This window comes from Homo sapiens, chromosome 6 (assembly GCF_000001405.40).
Source record: "Homo sapiens chromosome 6, GRCh38.p14 Primary Assembly".
NCBI classification, from domain to species: Eukaryota; Metazoa; Chordata; class Mammalia; order Primates; family Hominidae; genus Homo; species Homo sapiens.
In genome coordinates this window covers 21,645,616-21,672,178 of record NC_000006.12, presented here as the reverse complement: position 1 = coordinate 21,672,178, position 26,563 = coordinate 21,645,616, and the positions used below count along the sequence as shown (strand labels likewise).

At 44.2% G+C, this 26,563-nt stretch overlaps 1 protein-coding gene and 1 long non-coding RNA gene across 2 annotated transcripts in view, besides 3 other annotated features; one reads left to right on the top strand and one right to left on the bottom strand.

Annotated features, from left to right (window-relative positions):
* CASC15 (cancer susceptibility 15) overlaps nt 1-5,766 on the bottom strand; it is a 529,408-nt gene extending 523,642 nt beyond the window's left edge. Inside the window, exons 1-2 of the long non-coding RNA NR_015410.2 lie at nt 5,534-5,766; nt 3,280-3,532 (exon numbers count right to left, since the gene is read on the bottom strand). This is a non-coding gene — a long non-coding RNA (cancer susceptibility 15). The remainder of the gene's footprint in view (nt 1-3,279; nt 3,533-5,533) is intronic.
* On the top strand, nt 6,119-7,638 carry LOC124901483 (uncharacterized). The gene is made up of 3 exons (XM_047419653.1): nt 6,119-6,127; nt 6,364-6,532; nt 7,221-7,638. The coding sequence occupies exons 1-3, from the start codon at nt 6,119-6,121 to the stop codon at nt 7,622-7,624; spliced, it is 582 nt and encodes a 193-aa protein (XP_047275609.1). The 3' UTR covers nt 7,625-7,638.
* Nucleotides 6,207-6,501: a silencer, noted in NCBI's record as "tiled region #7931; HepG2 Repressive non-DNase unmatched - State 20:ReprD, and K562 Repressive non-DNase unmatched - State 21:Repr". NCBI's record gives its function as "represses a minimal TATA promoter and a strong SV40 promoter by Sharpr-MPRA in HepG2 and K562 cells {active_cell/tissue: HepG2 | K562}" and the evidence as "EXISTENCE:reporter gene assay evidence [ECO:0000049][PMID:27701403]".
* Nucleotides 22,754-23,254: an enhancer, noted in NCBI's record as "H3K27ac hESC enhancer chr6:21649156-21649656 (GRCh37/hg19 assembly coordinates)". NCBI's record gives its function as "activates a minimal SCP1, AML or CMV promoter by ChIP-STARR-seq in naive H9 embryonic stem cells {active_cell/tissue: H9 hESC(naive)}" and the evidence as "EXISTENCE:reporter gene assay evidence [ECO:0000049][PMID:30033119]".
* Nucleotides 23,394-23,594: a silencer, noted in NCBI's record as "peak5729 fragment used in MPRA reporter construct". NCBI's record gives its function as "represses an SCP1 promoter by STARR-seq MPRAs in K562 erythroleukemia cells {active_cell/tissue: K562}" and the evidence as "EXISTENCE:reporter gene assay evidence [ECO:0000049][PMID:32103011]".

Below are 26,563 nucleotides of genomic sequence, written 5' to 3'. Positions count from 1 at the left end.
AACCTGGTCTCTACTAAAAATAAAAAAATTAGCTGGGCCTGGTGGCGCATGCTTGTAAGCCCAGCTACTTGGGAGGCTGAGGCAGGAGAATCGCTTGAACCCGGGAGGCGGAGGTTGCAGTGAGCCGAGATCGCGCCACTGCACTCCAGCCTGGGCAACAAAGCAAAACTCCGTCTCAAAAAAAAAAAAAAAAGAAACAAAGTTAAATAAATGCTTTTGATTTACTTATGAGATGTTTAGCATGCATTATATTCATTATTTTTAGAAGGCATAGCTAAATATTTAGGTTTTCTTTCTGTGTAAGTTTATTGTGAACACCATGGTGGGTTGTTCTACGTTCAGTAATTCAAACTGATCCAAGTCAACGGGCAGTTTTAAATAACCAAGACTATAAAATTTGATATCTATAGTAAAGTTTTTAAGTATATTTGGTTATCACTTCAAACATTAACAACATATAGACATTTTTAAATGAATGTATTATTTTAAACTCTGTAATTACAAAGTATTATATTAGTAGTTGCTATATTGATATATAATCTGCTAATTAAAATGAATGCTTTCAACAAAGTTTTGGAAACATATTAAAAAAAGATATTTTCCTATTTTAATATTGATTAATTCCATATTTTTATTCCTAACATTATCATATCTAGGCAAATATCTGCTAGTAAATTACAAATGAGAAATAATACCTTAACATTCCTATCTGAAACTTCCTAAAGATAAAATGAATATACTCTTCCTTGAACTAAATAATCACTCAGAAGGCAATGCATATTGCTATATTACAGACCTAGAAAATGAAAATCCATGACTTGAGACTTCGTTTCAAAATGAAATGCTATTCTTCTAAGTGCTATTTATATTAACTGTAAGTTTTTTATTTAACTAAAGATCATTCTATAAAATTAGTAATAGAAAATGTGCTACAGTTCTTGATTTCCTCATCAAGAAACCACTGAGCCATCACTTTATATTTTAGCTGAAAAGTGAATAAACACGAGTTTTTAAACCATATCTAAATCATTGATAGCATTGAAAATAGAGAATTTCAGTAAGTCAATTATAGAAAGTCACTATTATCTCAACCTACAGATATTTCAGTAAGAAAATGGAAAGGCCACATACTCCAAGGTAAGGCCATGACCTTCAGAAATATACTCATGCATAGTACGATTTAATAAATGCTCGTTGAAGTAAATTAATCTGCAATCAACTGGATATAAGATTTGAATTAAATATAGTTTTACAGAAAAACATTTAAACGGATACAAACTTCTGTCCAAATTGACTTTGAATATTTCAGTGAATATTTGGTTAATGGGGCCTGAAACTTGTAAGGGAGACAACAAAGAAAGTTTGAAGTAACAAAACATCATTAAGTCATTGTGAAAGCAAGTAACAGTACTTTTTATTATGTTTACAGATGCCTAGCCCTCTGTTTTTTCCTACATAAAAAAATATTACAACAACCATATGAGATAAGTGTTAGGATATACACATTGCAAATGAGGAAATTCGGAGCCATGAAAATCCAGTAACGTGGAGGAGGTATCATAGTAATTGCCTAGGCTGTGATTCGAACTCAGGTCTGTTTTACTCCAAAGTCTCTTTCTAAATCTCTGATATCAACTCTGAGTGGCCATTATAACAAATTCAAACATATTGACTTCAGATATTTGTAGGTAAAACGTTTGTCGAGAAATAATACTGTACTTTCCACCTCCAAAAAAAAAATTCCAGCAGACAAACTTTTATTGAGAACATTTAAGGAAATCTGAAATTTCCATACAGAACACTTAGTTGAGAGTATACTTTACAGAAAATTTAAAGCATATTTCCTGAACTAATGCTACCTGAGCTAAGCATTCAAACAAAATAATTGTAATTAAATCACATTAAGTTTATCATGCCAAGGCGGGGCACGGTGGCTCACACCTGTAATCCTAGCACTTTGGGAGGACGAGGCAGGCAGATCACCTGAGGTCAGGAGTTGAGACCAGCCTGGCCAACATGGGGAAACCCGGTCTCTACTAAAAGTACAAAAATTAGCCAGGCATGGTGGCAGGCACCTATAATCCCAGCTACTCAGGAGGCTGAGGTGGGAGAATTGCTTGAATCTGGGAGGCAGAGGTTGCAGTGAGCCAAGATCGCGCCACAGCACTCCAGCCTGGGCAACAAGGGCAAGACTCCGTCACACAAAAAAAAAAAAAAAAAAAAAAAACTTGATGATGCTGTTAACTCTATTGTTCAATGATGTAAAAACAAACTTTACAAGAGAGGATGTATCTTATTTATAGAAGCAAGTAACAAATCATAGAATCTTAATGTTAAAAGATTTCAAAAATGTTTTAAGTTATTTAACTTAACCTTCATTTTATTGGTAACAAACAGAAGCCCAGGAAGGTTAAGTAGCTTGTTTATGTTTATACAGCTAGAAAGAAGCAAGTTGTAATGTTCCTTTTTTCCTCATAACAAGATAAAAATGTTTCCAATTCCCAGTTAATTTATTTGACCAGACCACAGAAAGAAAGTTCTTACTTTCCATGGCAAACAATCACTTAAACAAGGATTGTAAATATATCAAAATTAACTTTTTATATTACCAACAGTAGTTATGTGAATTTTTAACTACTTTCTCACAGAGGTGAACAAAAACTAATTGTAAGACTTAAAAGAAGGAATAGAAGACTCTTATGACCACTATAAAAACTTGATGTATGCCATAAAGGTTAAACAAATGTACGGGCTCTGTTATTACAAACTCAAGGTTTTCACTCTGAGAGAACTTACTGTATTTTATATAGACTCCCAGTCATTAGACATTTATTTTGGGCCATTTTTGGATTTTGTTTACCAAAATGAAGTGTCAAAATGAAGAAAAATAATAGTAATGCAAACAACATAAGTTCTGCTAACACAGAACTTAGAAATATCTACTGCAATATTTAAGAAGCAAATCAATCACAAATAAAGTAGGATATTTCCCTGCTGGATGCATCATCATTACAAAATTTCCTTAGTGACCATATAATCTGCATTCATTATGTGTGCTAATGTTGAAGAACAGATGGTAAAATTAATAAAATTCCATCACAAATACCCAAATCATCATCCTAAATAAGAAAGGATCTACAGAAAACAGTTTAAAACAAGGAAGTCCAAAGTCATAAATCACTCTGATAACACAGCCGCTCAAAATAACTAGTCAAATCTCTGGGTATAAGCCCCAGACCAAAAATGAAGTCCTCGTAGAGTATCTAAAAAGCAACATACCTTCTTTAAGGTGGAGAATTCCCAGCGATCAAATTGTAATCCATATAGAAAAGGTATCATCAAAAATTCCAATGATTTAACTTTTAAGCAACTCCAGATGAATCCAGGAATGATTTGACCTTGTATTGGTACTTCCATATTGTTGGCTGATGGAAAGATCCAGTAAGAACAACGCAGAATGAAGGAGGTCAGTGCTAGGAAGTACTCCAGCAAATTCATGATGCTTTCTAGATGCTGATAATAGTAATTACACCTATACAATTGAAATTAATTAAAGTTAGCTTCCAGGTCATTCTGCCTCCTCACTTTGTAAAAGAAAGTAATTGTTGCAATAATATATTTCAGTCTTTGATATGAAAACTCAAAACTACATAGTTCTAGCAGTTGAATCATTTCTAGGTACAATAGTAACTACTTCAATAGTAACTACTACTATACAGAATCAAAAGTTGAAGAAGTTAAAAGACAATGTTTGGGCGTTTCCTCAAGTTATTGACAGTGCATGCGCTTTGATGTTTCATTTGTCTTGTCAAAAGTAAGTCCAAGGAAGTGAGGAAAGCCTCTAGCACTTGGGAATATATGAGAGAAGAAAGTGGAGAAGGTAATAAACTATCCTGGCATCAGAAATGATCTCACAAAACATACCTGAAGATAATAACCTTTAGGTTATTCTGCATGTAGAATTCAAAAAGCCTATTCTGCATATTCCTAATATTTAGATATCACCTCAGATAAGGCATACATTTGCCCACTTTCAATAAACCCCCAACTTCAGTCTCCAAAATGCTTTTCCTTTTTTTTTTTTTTTTTTTGAGACAAAGTCTGGCTCTGTCACCCAGGCTGTAGTGTAATGGCACGATCTCAGCTCACTGCAACCTCAGCCTCCTGTGTTCAAGCGATTCTCCTGCCTCAGCCTCCCAAGTAGCTGGGACTACAGGCACGCACCGCTACGCCCAGCTAATTTTTGTATTGTTAGTAGAGACGGGGTTTCGCCATGTTGGCCAGGCTGGTCTCGAACTCCTGACCTCAAGCGATCCACATGTCTCGGCCTCCCAAAGTGCTGGGATTACAGTGAGCCACCGCGCCCGGCCCCCAAAATGCTTTTTCTACAAACCAAATGACAGTATGGGATAAACAACTCCTGTATAAAGTGGAAAAGCGCTGGGAGAAATTGTACCTAAAGTGGCAACGTTTACTGGGTGTTGAGTGTTCCCCTCATTCGCGCATGACCCAACCTAGAAACATTCCTAAGTTAAGCTACTTAGGAAACAAAGTTAGGGCGTCTTCCTTAGCCTATAAAAACGGAGTGGACTGCGCTGCCTCTTCACCCCGCAGCAGCAGAAACAGCCATCCCTCTTTTGGACGGGCGTGGCAGATAGAAACAAAAGGTTAAAACACAAAAGGCGGGGCGGAAGGCTGGGTCAGAGGAGCTTCTGGGGCTCACGTTCTGCTTTCTATTCAAACACACTGAAGTGGGGTTGGGGGCGGGGGGTGATGGAAAGTGAGAGAGGTGAGGACGGATACCAAGGATTGCCTGGGTTATTCCGGGTGGATCGTGAAACTGAAAGGGGCGGACGGGATGGCTCTAACTAGTGGTCCAGGCCCCATCCCCTCCATCCCTGCATCTCTGACAGTCTGTAACCTGTGGCTTCCTCCACCCCATCTCAGCCCCGAAGAAAACTTTCTGAACTCTTAGCTGTTTGTTGTAAACCTCTCCTTGACCGCTAACACAAGGGACCAATCCCCTCCAACCCAAACCTTTCTTCCTTCCATTGTTGCAGCGTTTTTATATTGTGCGTGGTATCTACAGAGCGCTCTGCAGACAGCTAAGTTATACAAACGACCCCCATATCCATATCGCTTTCTTTTGCATGACCAGGGTCAGGGCTAGGGTGGGGGCGAGGCTGGACTTGACCCTCTCAATTTCTGCATATTCATCCCTACATGAGTGCAGCTGGAAGAACGCGAAGCAATACCCCCTCACCCCACCCTTTTGAAACCCTCCTCCCCATCCCCCCAGCCCCTCATATAAAGAAGCACATAAGATAAATGCCTACTTGGCTTTTGCCTATTAAAAATAAACAAATGAAACAATTGCGCGAGTTCTTTAAAGAACAAAAGAGAAGGGAACGGGGAAAGGAGGTACAATTTACCAGCCAAACTTTGCCACTGGGCTACTCCTCTGCCCTCCGAAGGGCGGGGAGCGGGGCGAGTTGAGGGGAGAGAGGTAAACAAGACAACAGTCCCCACTCACCTTCTTCCCCACTTCGTCGCACTTTTAAGGGACATTTCCCCCGCTGCAGTCCACGAGGCGTTCGGACACTTTTTCCCGGCCTGACAGCAGAGAAAGTCGGGGCGGCAAAGTTGCGAGAGGGAGATACCCCGGCGTCCGGGGGAGAGGGGAGGAAAGAGAGTTCATCAGAGTTCCCCCTTTTGTTCCAAGTCCCGGAGCAGACAAAGAGGCGGCGAGCGGCGGCAGGTTTCTCCCTCTCACCCCTTCTTCCTCTCTCCCTCCCCTCCCTCCCCGCCCCCTCCCTCTCCCCGCATCTCCCGCCCGGCTCGGGAACCTCCGAGGCGAGCTGGGGCTGCTCGGTCCCCAGTTCATCACAACTCTGCCCAGACGGTCTCCTCCCACTGCCAGGCTCGAAACTTTCCCCGGGAGATGCCAGCCCTGGCCCCCTCCGCACCGCGCACAAGTCTGGGGTGGTGGGCAGGGGATCTCCAAAATCATTGTTTCCCGGAGATGCACCTCTTTGTTTGCACTTTCCCTGCCAATCAATGTGAAACATTCACTTGGGCGTCGAGTTTCTGTCCATTTTTCGTCATCCCAAGAGACAAAATGCAAAGGGTAGGGGGTCAACCCTAGATAAAGGCGCTTACACAATCAGAGGTGGGGCGCAGGCTAGGCTCTTCATCCTCCTTCCTCCTCTCGGATTCACCCTCCTCCCTCCTCTCGGATTCACCCTCCTCCACCCAATACACAGAACAACTCAAAGGGGCTCCAAGTGTTAGGAAACTCCTCTCCCGCCCTTCCCCACCTACCCCCACCCACGCTGTCCCTCTGGAGAGCCCTCTAATTGGCAGGACAAAGGCCAGCTCCGGGTTCGGCCGGGGCCTCCGCCCATCCCTCGGGGCTACCTGTTGCTGCAGGCGCAGCGCAACTCGGTCCAGGGGCTCCGAGGAAGAATTCCCAGCTCCAGCATCGCGCCCACCTTCTCAGGCCCCGAACTTCCCCTAATCTCAAACTGCGAAGGCAAGGCTCTCAGGATGACCAGGCGCCCTCTGACCCTACAGCCAGGCGCTGCTCACTCGTCCTCTTCCCTACACCACGTCCTCGTGCTCACCCCAAAGATCTGACTCGGGGTCCCAGGCCGCCTCCTCATCCTCCACCCCCTGCCGCGACACGTCCCAGCCGAGCATCCCCTCTTTCCTTCCCCTCCCCCACTGCCTTGTCCGGGACAAATCAGGTGTCTCGGACCAGGAACAGCTCCCGACCCTTCCCCAGGTCCCTTCCAGTCATTCTCAACCTCCAGAATTGGGACCCCATCCACATGGTCCCCCACCCCTCGACCCTGATCCCAACTTCGGGCCATAGCATTAGCTCGCTGAGTGACTCAGAGCAGCACTCGTTTTCCTTCTAGATCCACTAGAATTGAAGAAAAAGAAAGCAGGGAGGTGGGGGAAATGGGAGAGAGTAGGGGCCCGCATGGGGAAGCAATTTCTAGGGCAAAAGAAAAAAACATTTCAATGCGAACACCCACCCTCCAGTTGGTATCCAGCCCGTCGCGCACCTTTGCCTCCACCCTCTTTCCTTTCTCCCCATCCCAGACTTGGAATCCTTTCGGGTTGGTGAAGTTTGGGGGTAGAAGGATGAGGTAGACGGAACCTTGGGGACCTGGGGGCTATGTCCTGGGTTGGCTTGCGGGGGGAGGGGCATTAAGAGGAGGGCTCCCGCTGGGTCCGGAATGTGGTGGCGGTAGGTCCCTGCACCCGCCCGGCGACTCCTTGCCAAGGTCTCTCCTCCAGAGCAGAACAAAGACGCCGCGAGGAGAGCTTCTGTCCTCGCCTCCCCCGCCCCGCGCTTCACTCGCACCAGCCCACGCCGCTCTCGGAAACTTTACAACCAACTTCCCCTAGAGTTCGTGCGCGCGGCGAGTGGGCCAGAAGGAGAAACCGGGACAATCGCATCCCGGGACCAGAGATGCCCTCTTCCGCGTCCCCTCCTGGACAGGGAGCACCACCTCTTGCACCGCCCGTCCCAGTCTGCGAGCTGGGCGACCCGCGGTGCCAGGGCGAGCGGAGCACGCGCTTTTCCCAGCCCCTTAAGCGAATGATGTTTCTTTAGTCTGGACGCGTACAGTACTGGGCAGTGGGGTCGGAGATAAAGAAGCGGCCGCCGGCCACGCGCAGGGCCGCGGCTCTGGCCGCAAAGTGAGGCCGAGAGCGCAGGAAGAGCACGGGTGTGAGCCGCGCCCGTCGGGCCGGGTTCCTGCGCGTCCCGTTCCGCCCTCGGATCCCAGCGAGCAGCCGCGAGGCAGGACTCAGGGACCGCCCGGGCGGACCTCCTGGAACGTCGGCCTCCTCACCTGCGGGGAGCCCCGACACCTGCGCCGTCTCCTTGCGGAGCCCTGGGTCTCTTGGGCAGTCAGTCGCCTACTGGAAGCTCAGGAACCTCATCTTAGGCGAGGAATCTTGAACGCACCACAACCAACCACAAAGAGAAAACAGCCCCCACCCACTCCTGTCTGGCACATTTTCCTCTTTGTTTAATTATGTTGACTTCCAGAATTCTCTTTTTGGGAGAAGCCTACCCTCCCCCAGACAAAACCTTTCCTTCTGTTATCCTCAGGGATCTGCGTGGAAAATAATGAAAAGTCAGTACTTTGAGACAATTCCATTCTGTTGCCTCTCGAAAATGCTCCAGGTTATAGGGTAAATCAACCAAGATAGAATTTTTGACTTCGAAATAACACCCAATACTCCGCTTACTAATCAGAGCTATTAAAACATTACCGATCCTTTGAAAATGTTTACTGTTTGTTTCTCTCTTTTTTATGGGAATGAAGAGTAAGGGTCATTTGCTAGGTGCAAAAGTCAATATGGCCTTAAGAAGGCTTTCTTCCTGCTGCCTGTCTTTATGAAATATTGCTCTCAGAGCTGTTTGAAGTATCTCCCTTTCCCAACCTGCTTGTGAACAAACATTTCTTCCTGGAATCTTGGTCTTCAACAGGTCAGAGCTCCCCCATCTCTGTAATAAAGCCCACTCCTGGGACAATGTATGAGCTGTTCACTCCTACCTTTTAAAAGCATACCATCTTTTCTCAGATGCCACCACAGCTTTAATATATTTTTAAAGAGTTAATTAACATCATCTAGGCTCAAAGATGGATATAGCAGAGCATATCAGCCAGGTATCTTTTCTGTACTAACAGGGCTGGGGCTCCACCAGTATGTCATGGGCTTCCTACTGGCAGGCCAATGGCATCTTACTCTTCCCTCTCTGCTTCCCCATTCAAGGGCTTCCTGTGGCTGCCAGACCCCACTTTGCCAGTGCAGAGGGGCAGGGCAGAGGAGCCAGGCAGTTAATTCCTCTCAGAGCAGCCCTCAACCAATCAAAGATAGGTGTTGAGGCCAGGCATGGTGGCTCACACCTGTAATCCCAACACTTTGGGAGGCTGAGGTGGGTGGATCATTTGAGGGCAGGAGTTCGAGACCAGCCTGGCCAACATGGTGAAACCTTGTCTCTACTAGAAAATACAAAAATTAGTGGGGCGTGGTAGTATGTGCCTGTAAACCCAGCTACTCGAGAGGCTGAGACAGGAGAATTGCTTGAACCCATGAGGCGGAGGTTGCAGTGAGCCTAAATAGTGCCAGTGCACTCCAGACTGGGCAACGGAGTGACACTCCATCTCAAAAAAAAAAAAAAAAAGGTGTTGATATAAAAATACTCCAGCTTCCCCACTGAGCTTAGGACTACGGTAAATTGTACTCTAGTCTCCCAAAGGTGCCCAACTTTGAGTTTCAGATACACACAGCAGTAACCTCCCCTTTAGGGAACAGTGTTACCTGCCTGCCATCCTTCCTTCCTTTCTTCCTTCCCTCCTGGTTTCTCTACTTATTTCCTTCACTCTCTTCCCTGCCAATGCTTTCTAGGATCTCATCCCAAATAGATTACAATACTTGCCCTCAAATCCTACCCTTTGGGTCAGTTTCTGGGGAAACACAACTAAGAAACCTCTTATATATGTTCTTTCTAAAGGGAGGACTCTGTTCTATTTGGAGAATGAAGTTACAAGATCCGATTTTCTCTAAAAAAGAAGTTATTTAATTAATGAGAAATGTCTTGAGTTATCTAGTTCATTTTCTATGTAATAGTTTAAAATTAGATAGCTTACTGAAGGAAACGTTAAGTAGCAATAAGTAGGATCATATGTCATACGTGAAAGTTTTGCACAGAGAGTCATTAAACAGAAAGAAGCTCCGTAAGTCTAATGCTAGCAATCAGCAATGCAACAGGAAATACTGTTAGAATCACACTTTTGAAAAATTAGTTAGAAGTAACATAGCTTTTGATTGAATCCCCAGTGAGAGTGAAGGAGTATAATAAACATTTCCCATACTATATGACCAGTGAGAGATCCCACAGTGTCTTTCTGCAAACTTCTTATAGCATTGATTGGCCAACTACTTAATGCAACATTTTTCTTTCTTTCTTTCTTTCCTTTTTTTTTTTTTTTGAGACGGAGTCTTGCTCTGTCGCCCAGGCTGGAGTGCAGTGGTGCCATCTCGGCTCACTGCAACCTCCGCCTCCTGGGTTCAAGTGATTCTCCTGCCTCAGCCTCCTGAGTAGCTGGGATTACAGGTGTGCACCACCACACCCAGCTAATTTTTGTATTTTTATTAGAGATGCGGTTTCACCATGTTGGTCAGGCTGGTCTCAAACTCCTGACCTCAGGTGATCCACCCGCCTCGGCCTCCCAAAGCGGTGTGATTACAGGCGTGAGCCACCACACCCAGCCACAACATTTTTTCATATGTGTGAAATGATATATTAAATATCCTCTTAGCCACCATTATGAATAGGTCATCAACTGTTCACATAATTATAGGCGCCTAATGCTGTTCCTAGCTCCAGAATTTTCTTTCTTAGGTTCCTTTCACCTCTGCTTTTCTGAAGTTATCACCGTAGTAGTCATTAGTACTATTCAGCAAATTTTTCTTACTCTCTGGCTACATGGTAGAATGCAATTCCCTGCCTACCCTGGGTCAGATGTGGCCACATGATTTGTTCTGGCCAATGAAATGCGAGCATAAACTATGTTTGTCTCTTCCAGGTGGAAGCTTTAAGATTTTGGTGTATGATTTTGACATGCCCCTTTTCCATCTGCTACCGTGCTGGATAGGGATGCTGATTTACCCTGGATACCAAACTGAGTACCCACCAGGCAACCCTCAGTGGTCATTTAGTGTGAACAGAAATTTTCTTATAACAAACCACTGAAATTTTAGGGTTGTTTGTAATCATAGTCTAACCTGGTTGATTCTTACTTGTTTGGACACTGTCAGTCTTTTATCTTTGCTAAGTTACACGTATGGTTTCCTTACGGGTTTTAGATCTTGGAAAGTTTACTCAGAAGCCCACATGAACTTCCCACAGTATTGTCTAGGAGGATTTCAAGTTTAATGGTAATGTGCAGGGTAAATTGTTTTCTTTATGAAATATTAGTTTATCTTTTTAAAAAAGACCACCAACCAATTAATAAGAAAGGAGTGAGGTCGGGCGTGGTGGCTCATGCATGTAATCCCAGCATTTTGGGAGGCTGAGGAGGCGGATCACTTGAGCTAAAGTGTTGAAGACCATCCTGGCCAACATGACAAAACCCACCTCTATTAAAAATACAAAAGTTGGCCTGGCGCAGTGGCTTACGCCTGTAATCCCAGCACTTTGGGAGGCTGAGGCGGGCGTTTGAAAACAGCCTGGCCAACATGGTGAAACCCCATCTCTACTAAAAATATAAAAATTAGCCAGGCGTCGGCCGGGCGCGGTGGCTCACGCCTGTAATCCCAGCACTTTGGGAGGCTGAGACAGGCGGATCACGAGGTCAGGAGATGGAGACCACCCTGGCTAACACGGTGAAACCCCGTCTCTGCTAAAAATACAAAAAATTAGCCAGGCGGTGGCAGGTGCCCGTAGTCCCAGCTACTCGAGAGGCTGAGGTAGGAGAATGGGGTGAACCCAGGAGGTGGAGCTTGCAGTGAGCCGAGATCACGCCACTGCACTGCAGCCTGGGCGACAGAGCGAGACTCCGTCTCAAAAGAAAATAAACAAACAAACAAACAAACAAATTAGCCAGGCGTCGTATCGTGTGCCTGTAATCCCAGCTACTCAGGAGGCTGAGGCAGGAGAATAGCTTGAACCTGGGAGGCGGAGGTTGCAGTAAGCGGAGATTGCGCCATTGCACTCCCGCCTGGGCAACAGAGCAAGACTCTGTCTCAAAATAAATAATAAATAAACAAACAAACAAACAAAAATTATCCGGGTGTGGTGGCACGCACCTGTAATCCCAGCTACTAAGGAGGCTGAGGCATGAGAATTGCTTGAACCCAGGAGGTGGAGCTTGCAGTGAGCCAAGATCACACCACTGCACTAACTACAGCCTGGAGAACAGAAGGAAACTGTGTCTCAAAAAAAAAAAAAAAAAAAAAAAAGGAAGGAAGGAAGAAAAAGAAAAAGGCCGGGCACGGTTGCTCATGCCTGTAATCCCAGCACTTTGGGAGACCGAGGCAGGCGGATCATGAGGTCAGGAGTTTGAGACGAGCCTGGCCAACATAGTGAAGCCCTGTCTCTACTAAAAACACCAAAATTAGCCGGGTGTGGTGGCATGCACCTGTAGTCCCAGCTATTCAGGAGGCTGAGGCAGGAGAATCGCTTGAACCCAGGAGGCGGAGGTTGCAGTGAGCCGAGACCACGCCAGTGCACTCCAGCCTGGGTGACAAGAGTGAGACTCCATCTCAAAAAAAAAAAAAAAATTTAAAAGAAAGAAAGAAAGGTAGGATTTTTCAGACTTTGGTATATTTCGTTTTTGTATCTGTCCACAGAGATAATCAACTCTCCTCAATCTTTATGGTTGGCTTACCAGTTTTCAGGACTTATTTTACTAACACTGGGAACTCAGCAATTCTTTATCCTACTTTGTTTTAAACTATATTTCTTTAGACAAGTCATTGGTTTTATTTACCTACTGAAACTGAGAAGTAATTACCTACTGCATAGGGTTGTTATGACGATTAAATGAGATACTTAACTAAAGTGCTTAATCTAGGAGCTACATATAATAACAGCTACCATTCAGTTTCAAATACTCCATGGCTTGCCTAACAATTTTCCTGCAGTCAGAAACATTACTGAGGACAGCTGCCTGTTCTAAAATGTTTTTCATTTTCTTGGTTCCAGGCAATGATCATTTTATTGCAAAAATATTTTTAAGAAAAATGAGGGGCCGGGCGCGGTGGCTCAACACCTGTAATCCCAGCACTTTGGGAGGCCGACGTGGGCGGATCACGAGGTCAGGAGATCAAGACCATCCTGGCTAACATGGTGAAACCCCGTCTCCACTAAAAATACACAAAATTAGCCGGGCGTGGTGGCGGGCACCTGTAGTCCCAGCTACTCGGGAGGCTGAGGCAGGAGAATGGTGTGAACCCGGGAGGCGGAGTTTGCAGTGAGCCAAGATCGCGCCACGGCACTCTAGCCTGGGCGACAGAGCGAGACTCCGTCTCAAAAAAAAAAAAATTAAAAAAAAAAGATTAATGAACAGTCCATCTTTTTCCTTTCCCAAAAGGTATCTAGAAGACTAAAATCCTGTTTTTTTTTCTAAGCCCTACAGATTGTTGGTTTTTCCTTGTACACTTGTTGTTTTTACTATATTATTCTAATTACTTTCATTTCTTAGGGTAAAATCTAAGCTTCATAGCATACCGAGGCCCTCCTGCTATGGCTCTCTCTTTACCCCTCCCTCAATCTTTAATTTCCATCAATCTCTGACTCACGCTACACTCTGATAATGCTAAACTGCTTGTAGCAACGCTGTGGCAGGCCTACGTGCTTTTACTCATATTATTCTCTCTGATGACATTTATCCTACCTTTCTCCTATTTCTAATTCTTATTCACCTTTCAGATCCTTTTAAGCCCTCATCTCCTAAGGGAAGCCCTTCTAGAACCCCCCAGGTTAGACTAAGTGTCCCTCCTCAGTGGTCACATTGCAGATCTCTATCCTCTCAGGAGACAGAATTTTTTATTAAGAATGAATTTTTCAATCACCTGCTTGGTGTGCACAACCTGGCTTGCTTTGTGGCCATGATCAGATTACTTCACTTTTTTTTTTTTTCCTTTTTTGAGACAAAGTCTTGCTCTGTCGCCCAGGCTGGAGTGCAGTGGTGCGATCTCGGCTCACTGCAACCTCCACCTCCCGGGTTCAAGCGATTCTCATTCATGCCTCAGCCTCCCAAGCAGCTGAGATGAAAGGCATGTGCCACCACACCCAGCGATTTTTTTTTTTTTTTTGTATTTTTTTTGTTTTGTTTTAGTTTTTTTGTTTTTTTGGGGAGGAGGGACGGAGTCTCGCTCTGTCGCCCAGGCTGGAGTGCAGTGGCGCGATCTCGGCTCACTGCAAGCTCCGCCTCCCGGGTTCACGCCATTCTCCTGCCTCAGCCTCCCAACTAGCTGGGACTACAGGCGCCCGGCACCACACCCGGCTAATGTTTTGTATTTTTAGTAGAGACGGGATTTCACCGTGTTAGCCAGGATGGTCTCCATCTCCTGACCTCGTGATCCGCCCGTCTTGGCCTCCCGAAGTGCTGGGATTACAGGCGTGAGCCACCGCTCCCGGCCTGTTTTTGTATTTATAATAGAGATAGGATTTCACCATGTTGGCCAGGCTGGTCTCCAACTCCTGGCCTCAAGTGATCCGCCTGCCTAAGTCTCCCAAAGTGTTGAGATTACAGGCATGAGCTACCTCACCTGGCCTACTTCAGCTTTTTGAACCGCTGTTACCATGTGTAAAACAAATATCACTACCTGCATTGTAAGACTGTAAAGATAAAATGTCATCCAAAATGTAAAGTGCTTACCACATAAACCTGACAAGTAAAAACAGCTGACATTTATTGAGTTCTATCGTTTAGAAAGAAAGTTAAAGCAGTGAGATAGTAGATGGTAAATTTCCTTTTGAGTCTCAGCTTTTCTTCTCAACTATAAAGGTCTGGAATTTCAGTAAATGATCTTCCTTAAGGATGATGGGCGTTGAAAACAAAAGCTACACAAATTCTCAAGAGATCTCTGATCTACATAAGTTACATCAGAAACTAGATTCCCTAATCAGCAGCACTACTTTTTTTCTTTTTCTTTTTCTTTTTTTTTTTTTTTTTTTTTTTTGAGACAGGGTCTTGTTCTGTTGCCCAGGCTGGAGTACAGTAGTGTGATCTTAGCTCACTGCAGATTTGACCTCCTGGACTAAAGCAATCCTCCCCATCCTGAGTAGCTGGGACTACAGGTGAGCTCCACCATGCCCAGCCGGTTTTTTTGTAGTTTTTGTAGAGACAGGGTTTCACCATATTGCCCAGGGTGGTTTTGAACCCCTGGGCTCTAGCGATGTGCCCAACTCGGCCTCCCAAAGTGCTGGGATTACAGGCATGAGCCACCACGCCCAGCCAATATCTTTTAAATACAGATTGAAATATTTCTCCCTACAGATGTTTATTTCCTTTCCTCCCCAGCACCTTTGCAGTCCTGCTGTTTCACTCCCAGATCCTATCAGATAACTGTCCTAACATTTGTGCTGTTATAATATACACTTCATGTGGAATCAGTTTTCTGTCCATTATAGTGCTTTCTCTGAAACCTCGCCATTAGTTAGATGAATGGGTGGTACCTTTTTCAGTAAAAAGTACATCACAGCTTCTGATTTCAAACTCATGTTCTTGGATGATCACCCTATGTAGATATAAAGCAGTCTTCAGGCTAACATGATTATGCAGCAGAAATACCTTTAACTTCCTGGGAGAAAAAAAGATCCTGATCCTATTCTAATGATGCTAAATGGCATTATTTGGGGGTTCCACTCCTGGCTCTCTGTTGCATAACACTTATCCCTTATATCTGACTTAGATAAAATCTTTACCCCAAAGGCAGTACAATTGAATGGAAACAGTCTTACCTGTTTTCTTTTGATTCTGCATTATATTTGTGCTCCAAAATTCATGTAACTTTGCCATGACTTTTTATTTTTCCTATGGAAATACTTATTTGAGATGATAACAGCCTTAAACAAGAATAGAACTGGTGAATATTTTGTTTTGTGGAGAGAGGTATTATTAGACTTTCTCCTCTGGGCTAAAACAAAACACAAAAAGCTCAAGGTTATCCTAGGCATAAAAGCTTCTCAGAGAGGCATTTTTATTATAGCTTTGACTTACTCAATCTGGGAAGCCTATCACCAATAGACACAACTGAGAAGCATAAGGAATAAACAAGGTGGCTTTTCCTCCGGCCACCTGCTTTCTATCCCATGCTTTCTAATATATTGCCCTGTGTATGAACAATTACACTGATCACACTTTCTCTACCTATTTGGAATAGGCAATCTTGTACATTTGCATGGGTTATTGCCTGCTCTATATACTCAGTTTCGATATTTACTTTTCCTTCTGGTTTATGTTAATGTCATACGAGGTTTCCTTCAGTTTTGTAGTAGTTTTTTCTCTCTTTATTAGTTATATTTGCTTTTTATTTGCTGGCAAGCTGAGCCCTCAGAAAAAAAGCTGGAAACAGATACCTGGATCCAGAACACAGGCAGGGACTCTGATAACAGACCTTCCCAGCCTGGCTCACAGGTGGTCAGACCTTCATCTTAGGGGAATACACAAGGGCCATCATCCTATTTAAACTAGGGCAAAGAGGCAACCATTTGTCTTCTTCATAGCCAGCAATTTTTCCCTGTAATAAATGACTACATTCTGCAGCTGGAATTACAGAGGTTAAATTTGCAGCTAAGTATAATCCTTTACCTATTACAGCACCTTCCAGAGGCTTCTCTCATTTATTAGCAAAAAATATCACTATGAGTCAACAATAAAAGTGGGTATGTGCTCAGACAAAATTGTTAAGAATGTGGGTGAGAGCCTGATATGGAAAAATATAAATTATTAATCCAAAAGTATTTCTATAGTCTTTCTCCTAACTTGCTTTATTGATTTATTCCTTTATTTATTTATGTTGAGATGTAGTCTTGCTCTGTCACCCAGGCTGGAGTACAGTGGCATGATCTCAGCCCACTGCAACCTCTGCCTCCCAGGTTCAAGTGATTCTCGTGCCTCAGCCTCCCGTGTAGATGGGATTACAAGCGTGCACCACCACGCCCTGCTAATTTTCATATTTTTAGTAGAGACGGGGTTTCGCCATGTTGGCCAGGCTGGTCTTGAACTCCGGAGTTCAAGTGATCTGCCTGCCTTGGCCTCCCAAAGTGCTGGGATTATAGGCATGAGCCACCACACCCGGCCTCTCCTAGCTTTAGAATGAAGTAATAAGACAATTAGCAAGAGTTTTTGGTGTCTCAATGTACAGTTTCCCTCCAAGAACAATCCTTGGTCCTTTTCTCTTCTTATTCTTCACTGTCTATCCAAGCCGATTGCATCCAATGGGGCACTGAGTGCTGATGACTCCGGTCTCTGTACCTCCAGCCCAGGTTATTCTTTCTTGAAACAAACACCTATAACTGCAACTACCTCCTCCATGTTCAGCACATGTCTCACAGATATCTCACACTTAACATATCTTAAACTGATCTTGTCAGCAATTTTTCTTTCTTTCTTTTTTTTTTTTTTTTTTGAGACAGAGTCTCACTCTGTCACCCAGGCCCAGGCTGGAGTGCAATGGCGCGATCTCCGCTCACTGCAACCTCTGCCTCCTGGGTTCAAGCGATTCTCGTTGCCTCAGCCTCCCAGGTAGCTGGGATTACAGCTATGCGCCACCACGCCCCGCTAATTTTTGTATTTTTAGTAGAGATGGGGGTTTCACCATGTTGTCCAGAATGGTCTCAAACCCCTGACCTCAAGTGATCCACCCGCCTCAGCCTCCCAAAGTGCTGGGATTACAGGCGTGAGCCACTTCTTCTGACCAGCATTTCTTCAAGATCAGAAACCCTCCCCCACAATCTTTATTCTTCTTAGCAGTACTACCATCTAACCTACAAGAGAACAAAAAATGTGGGAGCTGCCCTGTGCTCTCCACTCTCCCCTCCCTGCCCCGGCCATTGCCTACATCAGCAAAGAATCCTCTCTTTCATTTCATTTCCTTAGCATCTCTGACATCCTTCCCCACCTACCCTCTGACTACTACTTAGTTCAGGCCCTCATCCTCTTTTACCTAAACAATTGTAATGGTCTCTGGACTGAATGTTTGTGTACCCCCCAAGTTCACATATTGAAGCCTGTATTAGTCAGGGTTCTTCAGAGGGACAGAACTAATAGGATAGATGTATATATGAAAGCGTGGTAGGAGTTATTAAGAAATTATTTTAGGCTGATAGAGAGGAAAAGGGGTCCTTGGAAAGTTTTCGTTTTTAAAGCAGCTCCAGAAACGTTTCTTGTCTAGCTGGAAAGTCCGGGCTCTTAAAGCCAGGCCGGCAGCCTTTGATATGCAAATATAGGCCATTAGAAACTGGGTCCACCCAAACATGGAGATTCTGGCAGCCTTCTTGCCCTTGCCCAGACATGTGCCTGGCAACATGGCCACCCCTAGGTTTCCCCACGTGTGCAGAATATCATGGCTCCCTGCATTTGCATATTAAAAGAATAGGGTGGGAGGGCCTTTTTTCACTGGCTACGTGAATGACATACCTGGTCAAACTAATCCCCTGAGCCCCATGCAAATCAAACACCGCCTCCTCCAGCCTCTTCATATACCCAGCTGGTATCTGTGGCACATAGGGTCTCCTCTCTCAGCTTTGGAGCCCCCCTCCCTCTGTCTCTGTATGGTGGAGCTTCTTCCATCTTCTCCTTTCCTTCTTGCCTATTAAAATCTCTGCTCCTTAAAACCACTCCACGTGTGTCCGTGTCGTTTTATCTAATCCGACTCAAGACGAAGAACCCTGGTGTTCCTCCACTCATTGGAGCCGAATGAAAAGCGTGTTTATTAAGGAGAATTGACTCACATGATCACAAAGTGAAGGAGTCCCACGATAGGCCATCTGCAAGCTGAGGGGCAAGGAAGCCAGGAGTGGCTCCATCCAAGTCCCAAAGCCTCAAAAGTAGGGAAGCCGACAGTGCAGCTTTCAGTCTGTGGCTGAAGACCAGAGAGCTCCTGGCAAACCACTGATGTAGGTCCAAGAGTCCAAGGCCAAAGAACCTGGAGTCTGACATTCTAGGACAGGAGGCATCCAGCGTGGAAGAAAGATGAAAGCTGGAAGACTCAGCAAGCCAGCTTATTCCACCTTTTCCTGTCTGCTTTTTTAGTTGTGCTGGCTGCCAATTGGATGGTGCCCACCCACACTGAGGGTGGGTCTTCCACTCCCAGTCCACTGACTCAAATGTTAATCTCCCCTGGTAACACCCCCACAAACACACCCAGGAACAATACTTGGCATCTTTAGATCCAGTCAAGTTGACACTTAATATTAACCATAAAAAACCCTAACCCCCAGTGTGACTATATTTGGAGACAGGAACTCTAAGAAAGTAATTAAGGTTGAATGGGGTCATAAGGGTGGGGCCCTGATCCCCTAGGATTAGTGTCCTTATAAGAAGGGACAGGCCAGGTGTGGTGGCTCACGCCTGTAATCCCAGCACTTTGGGAGGCAGAGGCGGGTGGATCACGAGGTCAGGAGTTCGAGACCATCCTGGCTAACACGGTGAAACCCCCGTCTCTACTAAAAATACAAAAACTTAGCCGGGCGTAGTGGTGGGCGCCTGTAGTCCCAGCTACTCGGGAGGCTGAGGCAGGAAAATGGCATGAACCCAGGAGGCGGAGGTTGCAGTGAGCCGAGATCGTGCCATTGCACTCCAGCCTGGGCGACAGAGCGAGATTCCGTCTGAAAAAAAAAAAAAAAAAAGAAGGGACACCAGAAATATCTCTCTCTCTCTCATGTCCTCTGTCTTTCTCCATGTGCATGCACAGACGAGAGGCCATGGGAGGACACCGTGAGGAGGTGACCATCTGCAAGCCAGAAAGAGAGCCCTCACCACAAACTGACCTTGCCAGACCTTGATCTGGGACTTCGAACATCCACAGCTGTGAGAAAATTAATGTTCTGTTGTTTAAGCCCCCTAGTCTGTATCTGCAATATTTTGCTATCACAGCCTAAGCAGACTAATGCAGGCTCCAAATTGGTTTCCTTCTCCATAATTACCCTAGCGCCATGTCCAAACCATCTGAAGCACTATTCCAGAGTGACCTTTATAAAAATGCCATTTTGATCACATTATTCCTATATGTAAGAAAAAAAAAATCAATCAATGGCTGTCTCCACTGCCAGAGTCCAAACAGTTTCCTCTCTAATGGCCTTATCTACCCTCACTACATCATTGCCTACCATCTCCCCTCCCCACACATCAACGTCTCCATCCAAACAAAATCACTTGTAGCTCCCTGAATACACCTCTCCTGTGTTGTTCTGTCTGTTACCCCTCCACTCCCCAAGGCCCAGGCCTAGTGAAGGTCTATTTTTTAACTTGGGCTTGCCTTCTCATTGGAGCCTTTCCTGATCTTCAACTTCCAAGGAACTGAACTCTCCCCACACTCCATGCCACTATTGTACCAAATTTGTCTTCATTACAACACTTACACACCGATATGGTTTGGATCTGTGTCCCCACCAAATCTCATGTGGGGTTGTAATTCCCAGGGTTGGAGGTGGGGCCTGGTGGGGGGTGATTGGATCACTGGGGTGGAGTTCTCATGAATTGGTTACACCATCCCCTTCCTGCCGTTCTTATAATAGTGAGTGTAAGTTATCATGAGATCTGGTAGTTTAAAAGTATGCAGCACCAGGCTGGGCCTATAATCCCAGCACTTTGGGAGGCCAAGGCGGGCGGATCACCTGAGGTCAGGAATTTGAGACCAGCCTGATCAACATGAAGAAACCCCGTCTCTACTAAAAGTACAAAATTAACCGGGCATGGTGGTGCATGCCTGTAATCCCAGCTACTCGGGAGGCTGAGGCAAGAGAATCCCTTGAATTAGGGAGGCAGAGGTTGCAGTGAGCTGAGATCGCACCATTGCCCTCCAGCCTGGGCAACAAGAGCAAACTCCATCTCAAAAAAAAAAAAAAAAAGTACGTAGCCCTCACTCCACCACCCCTCACCACCCCTGCCCCCGTCTCCCTCCTGCTCTGGCCATGTAAGATGTGCTTGCTTCCTCTTCACCCTCTGCCATGATTGTAACTGTCCTGAGACCTCCCCAAAGGCCAAGCAGATGCCAGCATCATGCTTCCTGTACAGCCTGAGGAACCGTGAGCCAATTAAACCTTTTTTCTTCATAATTACGCAGTCTCAGGTACTTATTTATAGCAACGCAAGAGCGAACTAATACACACAGTCTGGCGTTTTCTATATATGTCTTCCATACTAGGGTGTGTGCCTTATTTATCGTTGTATTTCTGCTACCTAGCATAGTGCCTGGCACACAACAGGCCTTCAATGCAATGTTTGTTTAATTTGAAGAATGACATGAAAAGACTGGGGAACAATACCAAGACAGTGTTTCCCCTTCTACCAGGTCAAAAATATGTGGCCTTCTTTTCATCCTTGTTGATGTTGATCTTGATAGCATTATCTCATCACTCTAATCTGCTGAGAATCTGTTTGTTTGTTCTGGCACTTAGATCTAATATGATAAATCTGCCAATCACAAATTCCATATCTTTAGCCAAGTCATTGATTTCATAAAGGGATTAATAAGTTCTGGTGAGAGCCCTGAGGAAGGACGTTAAAAATTTCCCTCTACTTTGATATCAATCCATTATCTAATTACCTTCATAGTTCACCTGCTTACTTATCCAACAAATTCTATTGCCATCCAACCCATTATACTCTTTTTCCCTAAACTGTATCTGCCTCAGGGAAACGTGCTCGGAAGAACATCGGACCCATCGGGTTATGCTTTCAAGGTAAGACCATGGTAAGGTAACTGCTCTTCTCCCACCCCCTGCTGTGTCTCCATACACCGTTATTTATATAGTCTGCATACACGGAATTTGATAAACTTTACTATAAAAACTTAGCATTTTAGCTATGTTTTGAAATTGAGTTTGAGCTCAAATTATATTATATTCCCATTATTTTCGCTACACATGAAATTAGAACTTCAGAACACAGATCCTCACTGACCCCTTGTAGAATGTGCCTTGGTATTACACCATTGGCCTTTACTAAACGATATCAAAGAACCAGAGACATGAAAGCTCTTTTTGTGTCTATTGTAGCGATGTTGCCAAGGACATTTTTCACTCTCTCGTACCATGTCCTCTTTATGAGAATCCATAGGATAAATATTTCACAGGTTTTAGGATCAAAAAGTGTTTCACCTATAGTTTGGCTTTAATCTTATGGATAAATCTTGCAATTAATCAGGTTCCCTCTTTGCTTTACTCCTCAGAAGCATAAAGTCAGATTTGCTGCTCTTCTCTGGCATCTATTCAAGGTGAGAAGGTAAACATTGTGTATGCTAATCTCATCTCTTCTTTCATTAATTTAGTTTTCCTACCCTTAGTTCCTATAGAACAGTTATCTCAAAAATTCAGTTTTATCTTTTACATTTATGTAAAATGTAGCACATGAATCAGGGCACAAATAATTTTCAGTCTCTTTTTACAAATAGGGAAATTGAATGCCCTGATAAGCTGATAAGCTTAGGGAAAGGTGTTTTATGACTGATTAACCCAGTGATGCCTAGCTTTTCAAATTGACCTTTTGTATTTGCTAGCTGGAATGACAAGCATGGCCTGGTTTAGAATTATTTCAATTTAACATTTGTGTTCAATTCTTTTTATGTTCACGCTATGGCTACCTAATGCCAAAACATTTGGACAGCAAGTCAAAATTTCAGTTATCTTGGTGGTGGTCATACCTTATTATTCCTTCTTACATTCATGTGATTGATCGTTTTTTTCCTCTTTACACAAAAGTTTTAGTGTCAAGACCAGTCATGAAAGTTCAAACATTATATGGTGTAAAGAGTGTAGGCCGGCGCGGTGGCTCACGCCTGTAATCCCAGCACTTTGGGAGGCTGAGGCGGGTAGATCACTTGAGGTCAGGAGTTTGAGGCCAGCCTGGTCAACATGGTGAAACCCTGTCTCTACTAAAAATACAAAAGTTAGGCCGGGCGCAGTGGCTCACGCCTGTAGTCCCAGCACTTGGGGAGACCGAGGCGGGCGGATTACGAGGTCAGGAGATCGAGACCATCCCGGCTAACACGGTGAAACCCCGTCTCTACTAAAACATTTTTAAAAAAATTAGCCGGGCGTGGTGGCGGGCGCCTGTACTCCCAGCTACTCAGGAGGCTGAGGCAGGAGAATGGCGTGAACCCGGGAGGCGGAGCTTGCAGTGAGCCGAGATGGCGCCACCACACTCCAGCCTGGGCGACAGAGCGAGACTCCGTCTCAAAAAAAACAAAAAACAAAAGTTAGCCAAGCACTCACAGGTGGTGAGTGCCTATAATCCCAGCTACTTGGGAGGCTGAGGCAGAAGAATTGCTTGAACCCGGGAGGCGGAGATTGCAGCGAGAGAAGATCGTGCCATTGTGCTCCAGCCTGGGTGACAAGAGTGAGACTCGGTCTCAAAAAACAAACAAACAAAAAAAGAATGTTAACTCAGGACCCAGAAGTCACAAGTTCCAGTCCTGCTTGTACTAAGACTTGTGTTGAGGCACCAACCTCTCTGCGTTTACATTTCCTCAAATCCATGAAACAATGGTAATGCCTCCCGGGCTCTGTAGCTCAACAGGGAAAATAGATGTAAAAGCACCTTGAGAAATAAGTGCTAGATGATTATCAGAGAAAGGCTTTGAGTCAGAAAACACATTATTATCATCTCTACATAATAATACTTTATATACAAAGCTTCTGACTTCTCTAAGTGGAGCGGGTCACAGGAAGCATAAATACACATTCACATGTAGGTTGACAAGTCAAAAAAAAAAAAAAAAAAAAAGCACAGTGCCTTACCATTTTAGCCACAGAAATAAGGAAGTGAGGTAGTTTCCTAGAGAACCCCTACATTCAATCAGCCAGGTTCCACTATTTCTTTGCTGTATCTACATTGTGCTTTTTATTTTTTAATTATAAACCAGATATAATGTAAACATTGCCATTTTAACCATTTTTAAGTGTATAATGCAGTGGCATTAAGTACATTCACATTGTTGTGCAACCATCACTGCTATCCATTTCCAGAACTTTTTCATCATCTCAAACTGAAACTCTATACCCATTAAACAATAACTTCCCAATCAGGCCGGGCACAGTGGCTCATGCCTGTAATCCCAGCACTTTGGGGGGCCAAGGCAGGTGGATCATCTGAGGTCAAGAGTTCGAGACCAGCCTGGCCAACGTGGTGAAACCCCATCTCCACTAAAAATACAAAAAATTAGCTACTCAGGAGGCTGAGACAGGAGAACCACTTGAACCCGGGAGGCGGAGGGTGCAGTGAGCCGAGATCACGCCACTGCACTCCAGCCTGGGCAACAAAAGCGAAACTCCATCTCAAACAAACAAACAAAAAACCTCCCTAATCAGCTTCTATCATTGAAGGCTCTATTTCCAACAAGGCTCTATTTTAAAGGTCTTTGGTCACATGCATGGCATTTTTACCCATCACAAGGTTAAACTCCCTTCTATATATGCTTCTCATTTTCCCTTCCATGAAAAGTGGCTTTTTATCCAAGTACTGGGTTATTTTTGTCCTCTGATACTCCTCAATTTTTAAAAATATTTAGTGCTTGCTTTGATGTTTTGGGCATAAGTGAGAATACAGCATGTAAATTCAAACCTTAGCTTGGCCAATTAGTATGCCCTGCTAATATACTAATCTCATGGATTTGGCCTTGCTCTTTCCATAGTGAGACTGCTTTTGTCTTAAGCCCTGTCCACTCTGAAGCCCTTGTGACCTGGGTCACATGGAGGACAAAGGGAAGCAGTATGGGCAAATCAATACAAACTCACTTGAAACACAAGTTCATTTATGAAGGTTAATACATTAAATAGAGACATAAATCAATTTCAGGCACAGTCTATGAGCTCCTTGAGAATCTGTATTATTTACTTGTGTGTAGCCTCTGCTGACAGATGAAAGGTCCCTATTAAACATTTGGTTGAAACAAATTCAGAAAAAAACCCTCATTTTGGACAAATTTTATAATACAATTTAAATGCATAGGGAAACTAGAAAATATGTTGTAAAATGAGGGAAGAAAAGTATTTATTATAGGCTTATAATGTGCCAGATAATTATGCTGTCTCAATATTAGCAATTTCATTTAATGCATACATTACCCCCAAAAAGGTAGGCATTATCTATCATGCCCACTTCTTGTAGAAGTGAAGCAACTTGCTCAAGTTCATGGAAGAGTGAGGGACAAAACTAGAATTCAAATCTAGATACACCTCACTTGAATTCTCATCTATTTTTCATTTCTGTACTGAGATCACTAAAATCATTTGAGAGAAGAATGTACTATTCAATCTTTTTCTTTTCTATGAAATGGCTAGTTGAACTTTGAGCTCTTGATTATAACTAAAAGGAATAGATGGTGGGTTAGTTAGAACTCAGAAAATTCAGAAGTGAGCAGAGATACTGCAATAACATACCACTCCTGGTTAGCCTCTATAACTCATGCTTGACATATACCCCAGCATGAGGAAAAATTAACTCAAGCTTGACATATACCCCAGTATAAGGAAAAATTAACTCATGCTTGACATATACCCCAGTATAAGGAAAAATACTACTTACTAGCATTTAGTATTGGAGACCAGGTGCAGTGGTTCATGCCTGCAATCCCAGCACTTCAGGAGACTGAGGTGGGTGGATCACTAGTTGGAGACAGGGAAACACCATCAAGATGTGGTACAAAACGCAGGCCTGAGAATTATCCCCACAGGGGTAAGGGAGTAGGGTATTTATACAGCAACTCTTGAGAATCGTTGTTAGAGAGCTGATAGAAAGGGTATTTATTTCCCAACACTTCCAGCTTGCTGTTCCAGGAAGAAAAAAAAAGTGGAATACTGGCAGCTGCACGTCAGCCAGAAAACACTGAAAGGTCCCAGGGAAATGTGTGGGCCACTGACACTATATTCAGTTAAGGAGCAGAGTAGACCACAGCTAATGACAGGAATTATAAAGTAGAAGAAATACCAAAGGAAATATCCCAGAATGAAACAGATAAGGATTAAAACATACAGAAGAGAGGCCAGGTGCGGTGGCTCACGCCTGTAATCCCAGCACTTTTGGAGGCCGAGGCAGGTGGATCACGAGGTCAGGCGATCGAGACCATCCTGGCCAACAAAGTGAAACCCCATATCTCCTAAAAATACAAAAATTAGCTGGGCGTGGTGGCAGGCACCTGTAATCCCAACTACTTGGGAGGCTGAGGCAGGAATATGGCTTGACACTGGAAGGTGGAGGTTGCAGTGAGCCAAGATGGCGCCACCGCACTCCAACCTGGGCGAAAGAGCGAAATTCCATCTAAAAAAAAATAGGAAGAGAAATGAAAAGATTTAAAGGCTAGAGTGAGAAGGACAATCATACATTGCATAATTTTTCAGAAGGAAAGCATAGGAAAATAGGGGGAGAAGCAGTTTATATGAATAAAGGGTACATTTATTATTATTATTATTTTTTTTTTTTTTTGACAGAGTCTTGGTCTGTCTCCCAGGCTGGAGGGCAGTGGTGTGATCTCAGCTCACTGCAACCTCTGCCTCCTGGATTCAGGCAATTCTCTGCCTCAGCTTCTTGAGTAGCTGGGATTACAAGCGCCCGTCATCCCGCCAGGCTAATTTTTGTATTTTTAGTAGAGACGTGGTTTCACCATCTTGGCCAGACTGGTCTCGAACTCCTGACCTCATGATCCACCTGCCTTGGCCTCCCAAAGTGCTGGGATTACAGGCATGAGCTACCACACCCAGCCCATTTATTTATTTATAGATATATTTTATATATAATTTTATGATTCCACATTTGTATAAATAAATATGAGTATATAGTTATAAATTCCTGAGAATTTAGTCTTGATG

What these genes read in the sequence shown, in the direction of transcription:
- LOC124901483 (XM_047419653.1), top strand. An exon ending in CCTAATCTCAAACTGCGAAG is followed by an intron (nt 6,533 to 7,220) that starts GCAAGGCTCTCA and finishes AGGGGCATTAAG; the next exon opens with AGGAGGGCTCCCGCTGGGTC.